The sequence below is a fragment of the Homo sapiens genome, chromosome 3, assembly GCF_000001405.40.
Source record: "Homo sapiens chromosome 3, GRCh38.p14 Primary Assembly".
NCBI lineage: Eukaryota > Metazoa > Chordata > Mammalia > Primates > Hominidae > Homo > Homo sapiens.
Genome location: NC_000003.12, coordinates 15,152,184 through 15,168,729, shown reverse-complemented (window position 1 = coordinate 15,168,729; position 16,546 = coordinate 15,152,184). Strand labels below are relative to the sequence as shown.

General features: G+C 43.2%; 1 pseudogene across 1 annotated transcript in view, besides 2 other annotated features; it reads left to right on the top strand.

The window, feature by feature from the left end:
- Positions 1-3,368, top strand: part of COL6A4P1 (collagen type VI alpha 4 pseudogene 1) — a 40,598-nt pseudogene extending 37,230 nt beyond the window's left edge. The window contains exon 5 of the transcript NR_027927.1: positions 3,191-3,368. The product of NR_027927.1 is annotated as a collagen type VI alpha 4 pseudogene 1 (transcript). The remainder of the gene's footprint in view (positions 1-3,190) is intronic.
- Positions 10,461-11,660: an enhancer, noted in NCBI's record as "BRD4-independent group 4 enhancer chr3:15198577-15199776 (GRCh37/hg19 assembly coordinates)". NCBI's record gives its function as "activates an origin of replication core promoter dependent on BRD2, P300/CBP, MED14 and CDK7 cofactors, and independent of BRD4, by STARR-seq in HCT116 cells {active_cell/tissue: HCT116}" and the evidence as "EXISTENCE:reporter gene assay evidence [ECO:0000049][PMID:35650434]".
- Positions 13,442-13,642: a silencer, noted in NCBI's record as "peak4546 fragment used in MPRA reporter construct". NCBI's record gives its function as "represses an SCP1 promoter by STARR-seq MPRAs in K562 erythroleukemia cells {active_cell/tissue: K562}" and the evidence as "EXISTENCE:reporter gene assay evidence [ECO:0000049][PMID:32103011]".

Below are 16,546 nucleotides of genomic sequence, written 5' to 3'. Positions count from 1 at the left end.
CACTCATTGTTTTATGGGAGCATCACTCATGCTTTACAGAGGGAAGGGAGAACATTGATTTATCTGGGAGTCACTAAAGTGGAGGTTGGTCAGGAGAGTTCCTACTACATACCCAGTTAAACAAAAAAACACACACACCAGAAAAAACATAGTGGTTAAGTGTGTGCACTTTGGCATATGAATGCCCAAATTTTAAATCCTAGATTTGGCACTTACTGGCTGTTATGAAAATCTTTGTGTCTGTCTGTCTTCTAATCTATTTTTGTCTACCCATGCTAGTATTTCTTAGATTCAAATTAGAATCATAGATTTAAATTAGAATCGTTGAAATGTACATAATTGAGGTAAAAATTCAAGGCTGTAATTATGTTTTCAAGGGAAAATCACTGAGCTTTTTTTCTTGTTAAACACTGAGTGATCTGGTAATTTCTTGATTACTTGTGCTGAGGTCTAGAAATCTGAAATATCTAAATAAATTTCTATCTTTCTCTTTGACCTATATTTTTAGTTCCTTTCTCAGTTCTAGGAATGAGATACAAAATTGTTATAATGTGAATTTCATTTCCGTGTGCCTATCTGCCTATATTCTGTGGATGAGAAGGACAGAAGACGAGCACTACTAGTTCACAATATGAAGAGCTGAGAGTTGTTGTTGTTGTTGTTTTTTGATACTGCAGAGAAGCTAAAAAGAAACTTGCAATCAGAAAAAGTAGCCCAAAGTCTAGATGGGTTGGGGAAGGGAGTAGCCTAGAGGTAAATAGAAGCTATGATGATTTTACCAGAATTTTGTCTTGGATGATCACAATGATCATAATATCTACTATTTACTGGCCATTTGCCATGTGTCAGATACTCTGCTAAGCACTTTATGTGTATGATTGATGTGAATGCTCGGCAACCTCCAGACTGTAAGAAATATTCTCTTTCTCTTTTCCCCCAATCTGCTAAGACTGACAAGAATGTACAGTGCAGGCAATATTTAGGGTCCTCGGCTCCTCTTGACAATCCAAGGGCCCTGGATTATAGTGAAGCCTCCTTGGGCTGCTCCTATAGGGGCTAGCTGCAGAGATGCCCTTTCCTGCACGGTGGTCCTTTTCTCTGACGCTGGGTAGCCATGTATGTGTCACCAGTGGATGCTGGAGTCCAGCAAAGTTTGGGTTTTTGCCTTATTTTTCCATAATTTCGCCCCTACTCTCCAGAATTCAGCAAACACTTACCATGGGGTAAATGACTCCTTTCTCTACCCGCTTTAAGCTACATTCCTTTCCAATGAATGCCCCTTTAGGATAGCATTGCCAGATGAAATATAGGACACCCAATTACATTTGAATTTCATTCATATAAACAACAAGGGTTTTTTAAGTATGCCACACATATTGCATGGACCTAGGTCCTCCCACATGAAGACCTGAGCAGGGAGCCCAATTCCCACCTTAGACAACTTCCCTTTCAGCCGAGAAATGAAAAGGCTCTTCCTGGGGCCAAGGGAATCCAGAGATTAACAACTCAAGGCTGGGCTGCCCTTATTGAGAGGGAGTGGAGAAAATATATACATATATTTTTTAGAGGAATCTGCTAGATGACAAAAATAATAAAACACCAGCTACTTTTAACTCTACATCTTTAATACTGAGCTCTGCTCTGTTTACATGATATTACTGTCTTCTCACAATAAGCTTACTGAGTAGGTGTCAACATCCTCATTTTATAGATCAGGAAACTGAGATGCAAGGGGGCCAAGCTTGCTAGTAACCGAGGAGACAGGATTAAATTTAGAGCCACTTGCCCTGGAGGCTGGGCTTTAACACAAGGTGACTGATTTAATTCAGACTCTTTTTTAAAACAATTTCTTCTAAAAAAAAATGGGATACATGTGCAGAACGTGCAGGTTTGTTACGTAGGTATACGTGTGCCATGGTGGTTTGCTGCACCTATTGACTTGTCCTCTAAGTTCCCTCCCCTCAACCCACCACCCCCCGACAGGCCCTGGTGTGTGCTGTTTCCCTCTCAGTGTCCATCTATTCTCAATGTTCAACTCCCACTTATGAATGAGAACATGCGGTGTTTGGTTTTCTGCTACTGTGTTAGTTTGCTGAGAATGATGGCTTCCAGCTTCATCCATGTCCCTGCAAAGGACATTATCTCATTCCTTTTTATGGCTGCATAGTATTCCACGGTATATATGTACCACATTTTCTTTATCCAGTCTATCATTGATGGGCATTTTGGTTGGTTCCATGTCATTGCTATTGTAAATAATATGGCAATAAACAGATATGTGCATGTGTCTTTATAGTAGAATAATTTACATTCCTTTGGGTATATACTCAGTAATGGGATTGCTGGGTCAAATGGCATTTCTGGTTCTAGATCCTTGAGGAATTGCCATACCGTCTTCCACAGTTATTGAACTTATTTACATTCCCACCAACAGTATAAAAGCGTTCCTATTTCTCCACAGCCTCACTAGCATCTGTTGTTTCCTAATTCAGGCTCATTTAATAGAGAATGTTTTAAATTAACTTGTCAAATTATTAAATTAAATTAAATTTTAGGATGTACACACTTTTGCCCATGTACTTAAAAAGCACAACTTGGATGGGAGGCAGGGATAATGGAATATGAAACAATTCATAGCTTCAAATGTGCTCTGATTTTACTTTCATTTCCTTAACTTCCCCATTTGAGAAATGTCAAGTTACATTTCCTTCGTGTCTTAAGTGGGGTTGATCAGAAACAGACTCTGAGACAATGATTTGGATGCAAATTATTTATCTGGGTGGTGATGCCAGGGGATGCTTATAGGAGAGTGGAGATTTAAGAACCAATTCGGGATGAGGAGTAATCTACAGGTTACTGCTACAGGCAACTGGGGACTCAGGGAAACCATGCAGGACTTACCTTAGAGTGGTTCTATGCAATGAACAAGGGAGCTGGGGTCTTTATCCACCAACCTCTGCCAGTTATTGGGTGGTGGCTGCTTCTGGACTCACTCCCAGGCATTCTGGTCTTCCTAGTGTGCCAGCTGATCATGCTCTTGGCCAAAGAGTGCCTGTAGGCAGAGTCACAGGTGCTGTCAAGGGAACAAAGAGTACTGAGAGAATACGGTTGGAGATTGGGATCAATCGCTCTGGTTCTTCACCATCTCAGACTCTGTTATGATGGGTTCTTGCTTCTTTTTATTGCCTAGGTTGTGTGCACATCGAAAAGGCAGATATTTACTTCCTTATTGATGGGTCTGGCAGCATCTATCCAGAAGATTTTCTTGAGATGAAGGTGTTCATGAATGAAGTGATAAAGATGTTCCAGATCGGGCCCAACAGAGTACAGTTTGGAATCATTCAGTACTCAGACAAAATTAAAAGTAAATTTATCCTCAGCCAGTATCCCAGTGTGACAGAGCTGAAGGTAGCCATTGATAACATCCAGCAGGGGGGAGGTGGCACCAAAACCGGTGAGGCCTTGAACAACATGACTCAGGTTTTTGCAGACACCGGCCGAATCAATGTTGCTCGATATGTTATAGTCATCACTGATGGTAAATCTTCAGACTCGGTGGCTGAGGCTGCAGAGGGATTGAGGGCAAATGGAGTTAACATTTATGCCATTGGAATAAGAGAAGCTAACATTGATGAGCTTAAGGAAATAGCTAAAGACAAGATATTTTTTGTGTATGAGTTTGATTTACTGAAGGACATCCAAAAAGAAGTGGTACAGGACATCTGCTCCTCAGAGGGTAAGACTTTTTCTTTTTCAATCTCCTTTCCCACCTCTCCAAGAATATGTACCTGATTTATTTAAGTAAGCTTCATTCTTTTACGCATTTTTTCCCCAAGACTGGATCTTGCTGTGTTGTCCAGGCTGGTCTTGAACTCCTGGGCTCAAGCAATCCTTCTGCCTCAGCCTCCCAAAGTGCTAGGATTATAGGTGTGGGCCACCACACCTAGCCAGCTTCATTCTTTAATCATGGATTCACTGGTTGGCAGCTTAGTATCGGACACTCAAAGTGACCACAACCTAGAATGAAGCAAGATGGTCAAGTTTTATATATTTATCATACAGCTGTATCTTATTTTGAGACTACTCTGAATTGCAGAGCAACTCTGCTGGGTTGCAGAATATTTGTTTCATTGAATTCCTCTTCCACTCCCTTCTAAAATATTTTCATGTTGTATATATGCCATTCCAGACTGTCCCTGGGGACTTGTAATTAATTGGCTTCAGATTCTTTTTTTGTTTTTTGTTTTTTTTTGGTTTCAGATTTCTAATGAATGTTCTGTTCTGTTTCCTTTTTCCCCAGCCTGTAAGAATAGTAAAGCTGACATTATCTTCCTGATAGATGGTTCAGAATCTATCTCCCCAAAAGACTTTGAAAAGATGAAAAGATTTGTGGAGAGCATGGTGAACCAATCTAATATTGGTACTGATGGAATTCAAATTGGCCTTTTGGGAGCATGCTCTTCTCCCTTTAAGACCAGCCCTGCCTCTCCCTCTCCCTCTCCCCTCTCCCCTCTCCCCTCTCCCCTCTCCCCTCTTCCCTCTTCCCTCTCCCTTCTCCCCTCTCCCCTCTCCCTCTCGGTCTCCCTCTCCCTCTCTTTCCACGGTCTCCCTCTGATGCCGAGCCGAAGCTGGACTGTACTGCTGCCATCTCGGCTCACTGCAACCTCCCTGCCTGATTCTCCTGCCTCAGCCTGCCGAGTGCCTGCGGTTGCAGGCGCACGCCACCACGCCTGACTGGTTTTCGTACTTTTTTGGTGGAGACGGGGTTTCGCTGTGTTGGCAGGGCTGGTCTCCAGCTCCTAACCGCTAGTGATCCGCCAGCCTCGGCCTCCCGAGGTGCCGGGATTGCAGACAGAGTCTGGTTCACTCAGTGCTCAATGGTGCCCAGGCTGGAGTGCAATGGTGTGATCTCAGCTCGCTACAACCTCCATCTCCCAGCCGCCTGCCTTGGCCTCCCGAAGTGCCGAGATTGCAGCCTCTGCCCGGCCGCCACCCCGTCTAGGAAGTGAGGAGCGTCTCTGCCTGGCCGCCCATCGTCTGGGACGTGAGGAGCCCCTCTGCCTGGCTGCCCAGTCTGGAAAGTGAGGAGCGTCTCTGCCCGGCCGCCATCCCATCTAGGAAGTGAGGAGCGCCTCTTCCCGGCAGCCATCCCATCTGGGAAGTGAGGAGCGTCTCTGCCCGGCCGCCCATCGTCTGAGATGTGGGGAGCGCCTCTGCCCCGCCGCCCCGTCTGGGATGTGAGGAGCGCCTCTGCCCGGCTGCGACCCCGTCTGGGAGGTGAGGAGCGTCTCTGCCCAGCCGCCCCGTCTGAGAAGTGAGGAGACCCTCCGCCCAGCAACCGCCCCGTCTGAGAAGTGAGGAGCCCCTCCACCCAGCAACCACCCCGTCTGAGAAGTGAGGAGCCCCTCTGCCCGGCAGCCACCCCGTCTGGGAAGTGAGGAGCGTCTCCGCCCGGCAGCCGCCCCGTCCGGGAGGGAGGTGGGGGGGTCAGCCCCACTACGGCCAGCCGCCCCGTCCGGAGGTGAGGGGCGCCTCTGCCCAGCCGCCCCTACTGGGAAGTGAGGAGCCCCTCTGCCGGGCCAGCCACCCCGTCCAGGAGGGAGGTGGGGGGCTCAGCCCGCCGCCCGGCCAGCCGCCCCGTCCTGGAGAGAGGTTGGGGGGTCAGCACCCCGCCCGGCCAGCCGCCCCGTCCGGGAGGGAGGTGGGGGGGTCAGCCCCCCGCCCGGCCAGCCGCCCCGTCCTGGAGAGAGGTGGGGGGGTCAGCCCCCCACCCGGCCAGCCACCCCGTCCGGGAGGTGAGGGGCGCCTCTGCCCGGCCGCCCCTACTGGGAAGTGAGGAGCCCCTCTGCCCGGCCAGCCGCCCCGTCCAGGAGGGAGGTGGGGGGGTCAGCCCCCCGCCCGGCCAGCCGCCCCATCTGGGAGGGAGGTGGGGGGTCAGCCCCCCGCCCGGGCAGGGAGGTGGGGGGGTCAGCCCCCCGCCCGGCCAGCCGCCCCGTCCGGGAGGGAGGTGGGGGGGTCAGCCCCCCGCCTGGCCAGTCGCCCTGTCCGGGAGGGAGGTGGGGGGGTCAGCCCCCTGCCCGGCCAGCCGCCCCGTCCGGGAGGTGAGGGGCGCCTCTGCCCGGCCGCCCCTACTGGGAAGTGAGGAGCCCCTCTGCCCGGCCACCACCCCGTCTGGGAGGTGTACCCAACAGCTCATTGAGAATGGGCCATGATGACAATGGCGGTTTTGTGGAATAGAAAGGGGGGAAAGTTGGGGAAAAGATTGAGAAATCGGATGGTTGCCGTGTCTGTGTAGAAAGAGGTAGACATGGGAGACTTTTCATTTTGTTCTGTACTAAGATAAATTCTTCTGCCTTGGGATCCTGTTGATCGGTGACCTTACCCCCAACCCTGTGCTCTCTGAAACATGTGCTGTGTCCACTCAGGGTTAAATGGATTAAGGGCGGTGCAAGTTGTGCTTTGTTAAACAGATGCTTGAAGGCAGCATGCTCGTTAAGAGTCATCACCACTCCCTAATCTCAAGTACCCAGGGACACAAACACTGCGGAAGGCCGCAGGGTCCTCTGCCTAGGAAAACCAGAGACTTTTGTTCACTTGTTTATCTGCCGACCTTCCCTCCACTATTGTCCTATGACCCTGCCAAATCCCCCTCTGCGAGAAACACCCAAGAATGATCAATAAAAAAAATAAAAATTAAAAAAAAAAAAAACAAAAAAAAAACAAATTGGCCTTTTGCAGTTCAGCTCAATCCCCCAGGAAGAATTCAGGCTCAACCAATAATCCTCAAAGGTGGACATTTACAGGGCCATCTTTGATGTTCAGCAGATGAGGGATGGCACCCGCACTGGGAAAGCTCTGAATTTCACTCTGCCTTTTTTTGACAGTTCAAAAGGAGGGAGACCCAGTGTTCAACAATATTTGATTGTGATCACCGATGGGGTGGCCCAAGATAATGTAATCATACCAGCCAAAGCCCTCAGGGACAAAAACACAATTATTTTTGCCATTGGGGTGGGAGAAGCCAAAAAATCGCAGCTTTTGGAGATAACTAATGATGAGGACAAAGTGTACCATGATGTAAATTTTGAGGCCCTGCAGAACCTGGAGAAGGAAATTCTTTCTAAGGTCTGTGATCCACAAGGTGAGTGACAGAGAATTGTTATTTGATCCACAAGCTCATCATAGGTGTTAGAGATCCTGTTGGTTCTCTTAATAAAGTAAAACTCTGATCCTTCTAACTAGGCAAGAAGGGGAGCAGGAGATCACCCTGTAGGGCCTGAACTCCTGACACTGTTGTTCACCCTCCCCTGGGGATTCTTTTAATCATTCCCATGGTTGTCATCACTTTGGTTTCTGAAGGCCTGAAGCTTCTTAGAACTCTGTCTCTAGGAAGTCCTCACAACTCCTCCTTTAATTCCTTATAGCATAGGCAAAACCAGATTGGAATGTGTAAACACAACGTGCTGAAGGTTTGGCCATGTCAAGAGGGAAATAGAAGCAGAGAATAATGTCAGTTAGACAGTCTCTCTTATGAAATAGAATACAGTGTCTTCTCCATGAGGCTCTGTACAGGGGTCTGCCTACTTTGTTGCCAATCTTCTTCCATATGGCCAAGGTCATCCTTAATCCCATTCCGTCTCCTCAAGTTTTTATCCAAAGCTGCAAGGCGCAAAGACAGGGGTTGTTCCTTTTGACAGTTGGGGTCCGCTTTTCTTCCCCAAGACTTGCCTTTCAGTGGGTGATTGAAGGGCTCCCAAACTTAAGCATACATTTGAATCATCTAGGGATCTTGTTAAAATGCAGATTCTGAATTCAGCAGATCGGCATTCTGGATTTCTAACAAGCTCCCAGGTGACGCAGATTTTGCAGGCCTCATCATACATTGAGTAGTAGGATAGGATAGGAAAGGATAGGATAGGATAGGATAGGGTAGGGTAGGGTAGGGTAGGGTAGGGTAGGGTAGGATAGGATAGGATAGTGTAGTGTGGTATAGTATAGTACAGTACAATGAAGCACAATAAAGCATAGTATAGTGAAATACAATATGTATGGTATGGTATAGTACAGGATAGCACAGAATGTGATAGAATGGTATAACTTCGAGCATAGCAAGGAATTATGTCAAAGGATATATAATGGAACCCATAAAACTCAAAATTCCTTCAAGTGATCATGTGAATACAGGAAATCATTTTGTTATTATGTCCCTAAATAGATGTGCATTTAATTGGATCTAGAAGGTTTTTTTTTTTTTTTTTGTAGTTTTAGGCTGAAAAGAAGAGGCTACTCACCTCTATGTTCTTACTTAACTGTGTGCCTCTTGATGAGGTCCTGCCACCTTCAGCCTTCTGCTGGGAGGCAGAATATGGGCTCTTGACATTTATAGAGCACTTTCTCATCCTTTATTTTACTTGATTTCTCACAACAAGTCTGAGATAACAAGCAGTATTAAGAAAAATCCTCTTATCAGGTAGGATGTTTTTGCCTACAAGTAATAGAAAACTCAAGTAAGAAGGACACATTTTATTCCATCTAACTGGCATTCTAAAGGCAGGGCAGGCTCCAGGTGGGGCACAGTCTAGATTCTTACTTGTTTTTTTCCATTATGTATGTAGCACTATTTTTTTCCTTTTTTTTAAAACTCAAGGTTGAATGCAAAGCACTATTTCTAATGTGTTAGATGGTATACATTCATCTAACATTCACATCAAACCCATGTGAAGCACGTGCTATCATTATGATACTCAATTTCCAGACTGAAAAAAAAAAAACAAGAAGGGAGAGGTTAAGAAACATAGACAGGAAGTAATAGAGGCTGAGTTTGAATTCCCCAGCAGTTTGGTGTCAAAAGTCCAACCACTAAGCATTATGTATGCCTATGAAGCCTCTCTATGAGAAACTAGGGCCATACTTGGGTCAAGATTTTTGTTTGTTTGTTTTGTTTTGTTTTTAAATTTTTAGACAGGATTTCACTCTGTCACCCAGGCTGGAGTGCAGTGGTATGATCACAGCTCACTGCAGCCTCAAACTCCCAGGCTCAAGCGATCCTTTCACCTCTAGCTGGGACCACAGGCGAGTGGACATCGGCTCGTTTTTTTTTTTTTTTTAAGTTTATGTAGACACAGAGTCTCCCAGTGTTATCCAGGCTGGTCTTGAACTCCTAGACTCAAACAATCCTTCCTCTTTGTCCTCTCAAAGTGTTGGGATAACAGGTTTGAGCCACTGTGACTGGCCTGGGCTAGGTCTTATTTTGGAAACAGAGACTTAATTTTGGAGGACTAGGATGAGAACCCTGCATTCCACCAAAACTTTGAAGTCCAATTTTCTAGGACATTAAATTAATATCTTTGCTTATATTGACAAAAAAATATAACTACTTTGCAGTAGTCTAGCCAAATTTGAAAATCATCTGAAAAGAATGCACATGTACAATTATTTTTAAAAGAAGCATGAATTATGGCATGTCCTACATTAAGTAGTTCAGAGTTTTTTAGTCACCAAAGTCCTATTTTTTGTTTATACGCAGGTAGGTATTACACTGGGGAGAAGAGGAGATATAGGATTCAGCTTCTTTTTTCAGTTTATTTTGCCCCTTATAGTAAGTTAGGATTTATGTTTATCTTCAACTTTGTCTTTAAATTTTTTGATGAAATTAGCTAGACACTTTAATAAGGGCTAGACTCTAATTAATTATAGAATTCTAGAATCATAAACCTGAAAAAGACCTTAGAGATTACCTGGCAAGATTTAATCCTCTCCATTAAAAGGGAAAGAAATTGCTTCTTGCATTTGTCAATTATAGAACAGAGCCAGCTGGAAATGTTCCTGGTGAAAATGTGAATTAGAAATGTTGGAATAATATGCCATACTACAAAAAGGAAATTCCTTTTTTTCTGAAATTAGGTCCAATATAGAAATGGGATTTACATCTGTGAAGGCTCATTTTTATAAATTTGAATTACATATTTAAAAAACCAAACCAAACTAAGATATTTTATGTGAAAGGAGGAGATGAAGGCATTTTCTGTCTTGGCAGTTCCAGAAATATATCTTACCAGCTAGCATGGAGTATGACATTTAGGGGACTGAATGCTCATGGCTCAGCTCTGATCTCAGGTTTTTGGGAAACTTTAAGCTACTGTCCATGGTGAATGGTCTACTACATATTTATTTTCCCTCAAATTGTTCCTCCCCATTTGCAGTTCTGTTCTTGCAGATTCTGATACAGGTATATAGATTCTGTTATAGACACAGATCCTTACATCATCATATACTCTAGTGTGTGATGATCTAAGGAGAAAATGTTGGCATGTCCTGGATTGCCTTGGACAGTCCTAAGTTATGCTTGTTGTGCAGAAGTAATTAATAGGTGCCCTTTTAAGGTTGTTACATTTTAATTCATCCAACCAGATTCCAACTCAGATGTGTCTCTGACCATCAACTTTTGATCCTTAGTGGAATTTTGTGCAAAATTTTATTATATACTGGTAAGTGTATAGGTATAGCCTGAAATATTAATTGGCCTTCAAATTCCAGAGAAAAGCTACCCAAGAGGGCTTAACTATTTTTAGATATAAGAAACAGATAATTGGGAGTGATTTTTTCCTGACATTTTCTAATATGCTCCCATGCTGCTGAAACAAGGTATAGGCATGGGTGGTGAATGAGGAAAAACACTATCAGGGAAGAAGGAAATAATTCCAGTTATTGTTGAAAGAGACTTAAGGCTCATTTATATCCTTTTCTTCATTGATTTGTCAAACATTTAATGAACATCTGTATTAGGCAATTGGAAAATTAGACGGCATAGTCATTACCATCAAGGAATCCTTGTTTAGTCAGGAAGAAGGTCAAATAAAGTAACAATGAGCATGCACGGGCATTTAATAACTTAACATGAGGAGGTGAGGACAAAAACCAGAGAGTGCTTGGTGAGTGGGGTGGGGTGGGGCAGGCACTTGAACTACTACTTGAAGGACCAGACTGGGGTGGGAAGATGGGAAAAGACACTTTAGGCAAAGGGAGTAGGATCTGCAGAGGCATAAAGCTATGAAACAGGATGTATTGTATCAATTAGCTTTTGCTGTGTAACAAACAATCCCAAAACTTAAACTACCACTATTTAGCTTATGCTTCTGTGGGTTGGCTGGGGGTTTGTCTTTTAGGGCTGGATTGGCTGATATCTTCTGGGCTTAGTTATGCACCTGCAGATGACTAATTTTATTTTCTTCACCTTCAAAGGATGCAACCTGGATTTGTCTGTAGGAATTGATATCTCAACTCCTTCAAAGAAAATTCAGCAGAAGCTTCAAGGGTTACTGCCAGAGCTGATGCAACAGTTGGCTTTACTTTCTAACATCAGCCGTGGCATTTCTGATCAGATCGACCCAAGATTCCGCTACTTGGTGCCTGGCTCAAATGGCCAGCTTACCTTTGACTCAGGCTTTGAAAAATACAGTTATGAGATCATCCAGAAGTTCTTGGTTCATCAGGCTGCCAGGAATAACAATATGGATGTGAACTTTTTGCAGTCCTTGGGAGATAATGCTATTCATCTCTCTTCTGCTAATGTAAAGGTAATAAATGCTGAGAACCCTTGCTATGGAGCCATCAGGTAGGGTAGAATGGATAAGGCTTTGTGACTGAGGCCAACTAAATTGTTCTTAATTGGTGATCTTACACAGAGGAAAGCCATCCTGTTACACAATAAAACCAACAAGAGATGTGTTTTCATTCAACAACAAATATTTTTTAAGCCCTAGATGTTCTATGCTCAATAATGCTAGTAGGAATATAAGAATAAAGTCCCTGCTCTCAAATTGCCCACAGTTTAGTGATTCATATTCTTCCATAACATAAATTCATTTCCAAGACAACTTGGAAGGTGTTTTAAGACTCCTTAGCTTTTTATGGTCACTCATTACCATTTAGAGTAGGCTTGCTATTTTTCCAGTCAGCATCTTGAACTGTCTTTAGTGAGAGCTATTTAGTACAGCTCACCCCTCAAGCCTCTCCCTCCCTTCTGCTGTCTCTGAACTATATACTCACAAAAGCCCACAGAGATGGAAAGCTTTTAAGTGATGTTTATCACATCACATAATAGGAAATGACATCCCCAAACTTCATAACTTACATTTACGTTGTTATGCATCCAATGGATGTATTTTTTGACTAATATCATCCATGTTTTATTTTTTATTCCTGTTTTAAATTAAAAATTTCTTATGAGCAAATAAACACATTTCAATTGTAGAAAATACATTACAAAGTATAACAGAAATTAGCAACAACCACCCCCACATCTCCTCCCCTCCATCCCTGCCCACACTGCATACACCACACATGCACACACACCTCTCTGTTAATATTTTGGTATTTTTTGTTGATAAGGATAAATATTATAAGCATTTTTGGAAGGTATTTTTAAATAAGTTCAGCCGATTCAAATCCTCTTTTTTTTTCCCAGGGGGATGGGGAAGTTGAAATAAAGATGAATGCGTAATAAAAGAATAAGTAAAAAGGAACAGGGTGAAAGGCTAGGCATAACCAGAAAAACTCACTCTTGAATTTTAAGGAAATGTACAATTTATAATATCCATTTTATGCATTCCTTCTCCCCTTCCCCTCTGTTCCCTCCCTTCTTCCTGCCTCCTTCCCTTTCCTCCTTCCCTTCCCTCCTCTTCCCTCCTTTCCCTTTTCCTCCCCGCTCTCACTGTCTTATCACCTTCCTTTTCTCTTCCTTCCCCACCCTCCCTCCTTCCTACTTCTCTTTTCTCCCTCCCTCCCTGTCTGGTTCTGCCAACCCCCTTTCTCATAAACAACAGGTCCTTTTAGTGTTTACAGATGGACTGGATGATGATTTAAAAAGACTGAAAAAAACATCGGAGTTTCTCCACAGCAGAGGTAAGTGCATAGGGTTGCCCAGTGTGGGCCTCCCTCCCTCCTCCCACTGGAACTGAGGCACTCAGCTCTCCAGATGGCACTGGACTCTATGAAGCTTCCTGTGTGTTCACCCAGTGCGTGGGGCTCAGTGCTCATGAGGCTGATGCCCAGTCTCATTCTTTGTATGAGCCAGAGGATGTTTTGGGGCTGAAACTCCCTGCCTTCTTCAACAATGTCCCTGACACTGACCGGGGTCTTCTGACTCAGACAGGACTAGCTTTTGAGGGTTGGAGGTTGAAGGTACAACTCCTACTTAAATGGTGAGAGGGGCTGTTTGTTCTTTTAGCCCAATCTGGGGTCCATATGTCGTTTTCTCCTAAACTCTGGAGTCAGTCTAAAGCTGGGCTCTGCTCTTTGCATTGTAATTCTGCCCTCTTTGCTCTTAATTCTTCCTCCTTCTCCATCTTCAAAAGCTCCTGCTGCTAGTCTATATGGCATCTTTGTGCAATTAGAGAAGGACATCCAATACACTGCATGGATGCAAGTGTATTGGGCTCCTGGGTGGTGAGGGGTATGCTGGCTGGATTTGGCCGTGCATTAGCTCTCTCAGATGGGTGTTCTTGTGCAGCACAACTTGTTCAACTGTACACTATGACTCTCACCATTCCCACTTTGTGCCATGTAAAGGCTCAAAAGCAACCTGAGGATGCACAACCAGCAACTTGACTTGCTCAAGTTCCTTTCACCTCTTTTCCTCTTCAGTCGAGTCTATTCAACATATTTTGCTGGGGACAATGTTTTCCATTGGTTAATCATGTGCTAGAATATCTTTTTATGACACCTTACTCCCATCTTAATTCACTACATAGATCGCCACTGGAAGTTTAAATTCTTGCATGTTTTCTGGAGGGGATTTGAGAGTATGTAACAAGAGACTAAACTTGGCTTACATGCTATGCTAGATCAGAAATTCCATTTCAAAGAATTTAGTTTTAAGGAATAATTAAGAATATGTACACAACTTTTAACCACACAGTTCTCAAGCAGCTTGTTTACCATAGCAAAAAGCTGATTGGCATGTATGTGCCAAGAATTTACTGTTCAAACTATTAACAGTAATATTTGTTTTGAAATTCGACAAACAAGGTGATTTCTAGTTGAATTACCAAAATACCCTTGTTCATTTGTATTTTTGTTCTGTGGACAAATCCAGATGATCTCTTAATGCCTGCGTTGGTAGGATAGGCTAGATTATGCAGCAATAACAACCTCCAAACCTCAGTGACTTAAAGTAGCAAGAAGTGATTCATCTTTGCCTCCTGCTCACCATTCAAGAACCCAGGCTGAAGGAGGGTCTATCCCAACAGCTGTTTTTGTAATTGCTGTGGCAAGGGAAAGGAAATGGGGCAAATTGTGCACTACTCTTAAAATTTCTCCTGGGGATTAACACATGTCACTTCTGCTCACATTTAATTAGCTAGAGCAAGCCATATGGTCACTTCTAACTTTCATGAGATAGATAATACTTTACAGGTAAGGAATTGAGCCTCAATGAGTGTTTATAACCTGACTGAAGACATGCGATCCTATCATGTGCCCTTAAGAAGGGGAGCCAGAACATCTGTGAACAGCCACAGTGACTGCCACAATTCCTAAGTGTAAACCAAAAGTCAACTTCAGGGATAGGCTTAGAAGGATCTAATTTAATACAACGAGGGCTGAAAACCGTCTGTGAAATGACAAAATGGGGGCTATAAGAGAGCTATGAGAGTCCTTTGTGGTTCTGTTCAACTTTCAGCTGGTGGGATTGAAAGGTATCAGACAAATTCTTCAAGAAGGCATGCCACAAACTAGTTTTAATTGTAACAAAATGCAGTTTGAGACAAGACAGGTGAAGGCTATGGTAATGGTGGAATGATGGATGAATATGTGGGGCTGAGACAAAGACCATTCAAAAGACATGAAAGTAATCTCCCACCTGTTGAAATTGTGAAGGATTCTCTGGACTCCTAATCATTGGCCTGGAAGTTGTCCATAAATTAGAAGAGCTCCAGGAGCTGGAATTTGGCAGAGGGTTTGCATATAAGCAACCTCTGAGCATCAAACTGCGATCCCTCCCAAGCGTCTTACTGAAGCAACTTGTAAGTACTTTTTAAAAATGCCATCCTTTGCTGAGTTCTATTAATTATAATAATTTTAAAAACATTGAGAGAATTTTGTCTTCTTAGTGTGTAATGTGATATAGACTAACACAGATGAGAAAATCGTATGTGATATGGATCTGTTTTTCAGGATACAATTGTGGAAAGAACATGCTGCAATATATATGCAAAGTGTTTTGGAGAAGATGGGTACAGAGGTGATTATGGGAGTTCTGGGAGGAAGGTAAGAATTTGTCAGGTGTGGATAGGGGGAAGGAGAGAGACGATATTTCAGTACCCGCTACATACCAGACTGTGTTATGTATTTAACAGCATTTTCTAATTTTACCCCCCTAACAAACACTTTCTGTAGATGTTATTTTACATGTGTGAAATTGAGGCTCAGAGAGGTGACATCACTTTCCCAAAATTGCATCATTATGAAGATGCATTTGGGAGTTAAGCCCCTATGTCTCCCTAACTCTAAGTCCCACATGATTTCCACCATATTATGCTACCTTCTTGTGCTCATTTGACAAATAATGTCACAAATTCTGCCACTGCACAGAAGTTTTCACTTATCTACCGTATTTTCACTTGTCCAACATCTGCTTTCTTTATAGTAGTAAATGCCTCTCTCCCATCTAACATTCTTTTCTACAGCATCAAACTCTGAGAAAAGAGTTGCATCTCTGTTAATTCTAGGTTAACCAATAGGAAAATTACTACCTAACACTTCTAAGGGAGAGTATCTCATTAGAAATGGTCCTCAGATATTCAGGGCTGGCAAGGTTCCATTATCACAGGGATTGAAGCTTTATAATGAGGGTATAATCACAGACACACAGGTAAGGTTAAATTACACCCGCTGGCTTTGTGTCATCTTTTTACATGTTCTCTTTGGAAGATTTTCCATGAGGTTGTTGGAATGAGCTCTTCAGGGCTTTGCAGATCAATCTTTTAAATTTAGAATAGTATAAAGTTTATAATTACTGTTTGAAAAATAAATTGTAATCATGCCTTAGCATTAGACTTTTCCCTGTCATGTTGTTATTCATTAACAGATTGGAGAATCAGAAAATCAGGTTTAGGAGCTTCTTGATACGTTTCTTTGCAGCTTGTGCCGGTGCCTCTAAGGCCAAAGATGGGAGTATTTTAAATTTTTGACTTCTCTGCTGTTTCTGTTTGCAAGAATTCAGTAGATGGTCATAATGACTTTTATATCTTTGTTGATCACAAATAAAATATGCCTTCCAAGTCTTACTGACCAGCTTTTAGACTAAATAAACACATCTGACTATAACATGGCAAGCCAAACTTCCTTGAGAGGAAATGGTTTGTGTGTTTCGGTGTGTAAGAAGTAGTAAAAGGACAAAACAAAACTGGACAGTTGAGTCATACAGAAATAAACAACCATTTCTCATGAATAAGATAGGCAGGAAGAGCTTTGCTTACTGATGTTTTGTAAAACAAGGTTGAAAGCTTCTTTAAGAGTAACAGTTTTCCTTAAGCTTTTAACTAGA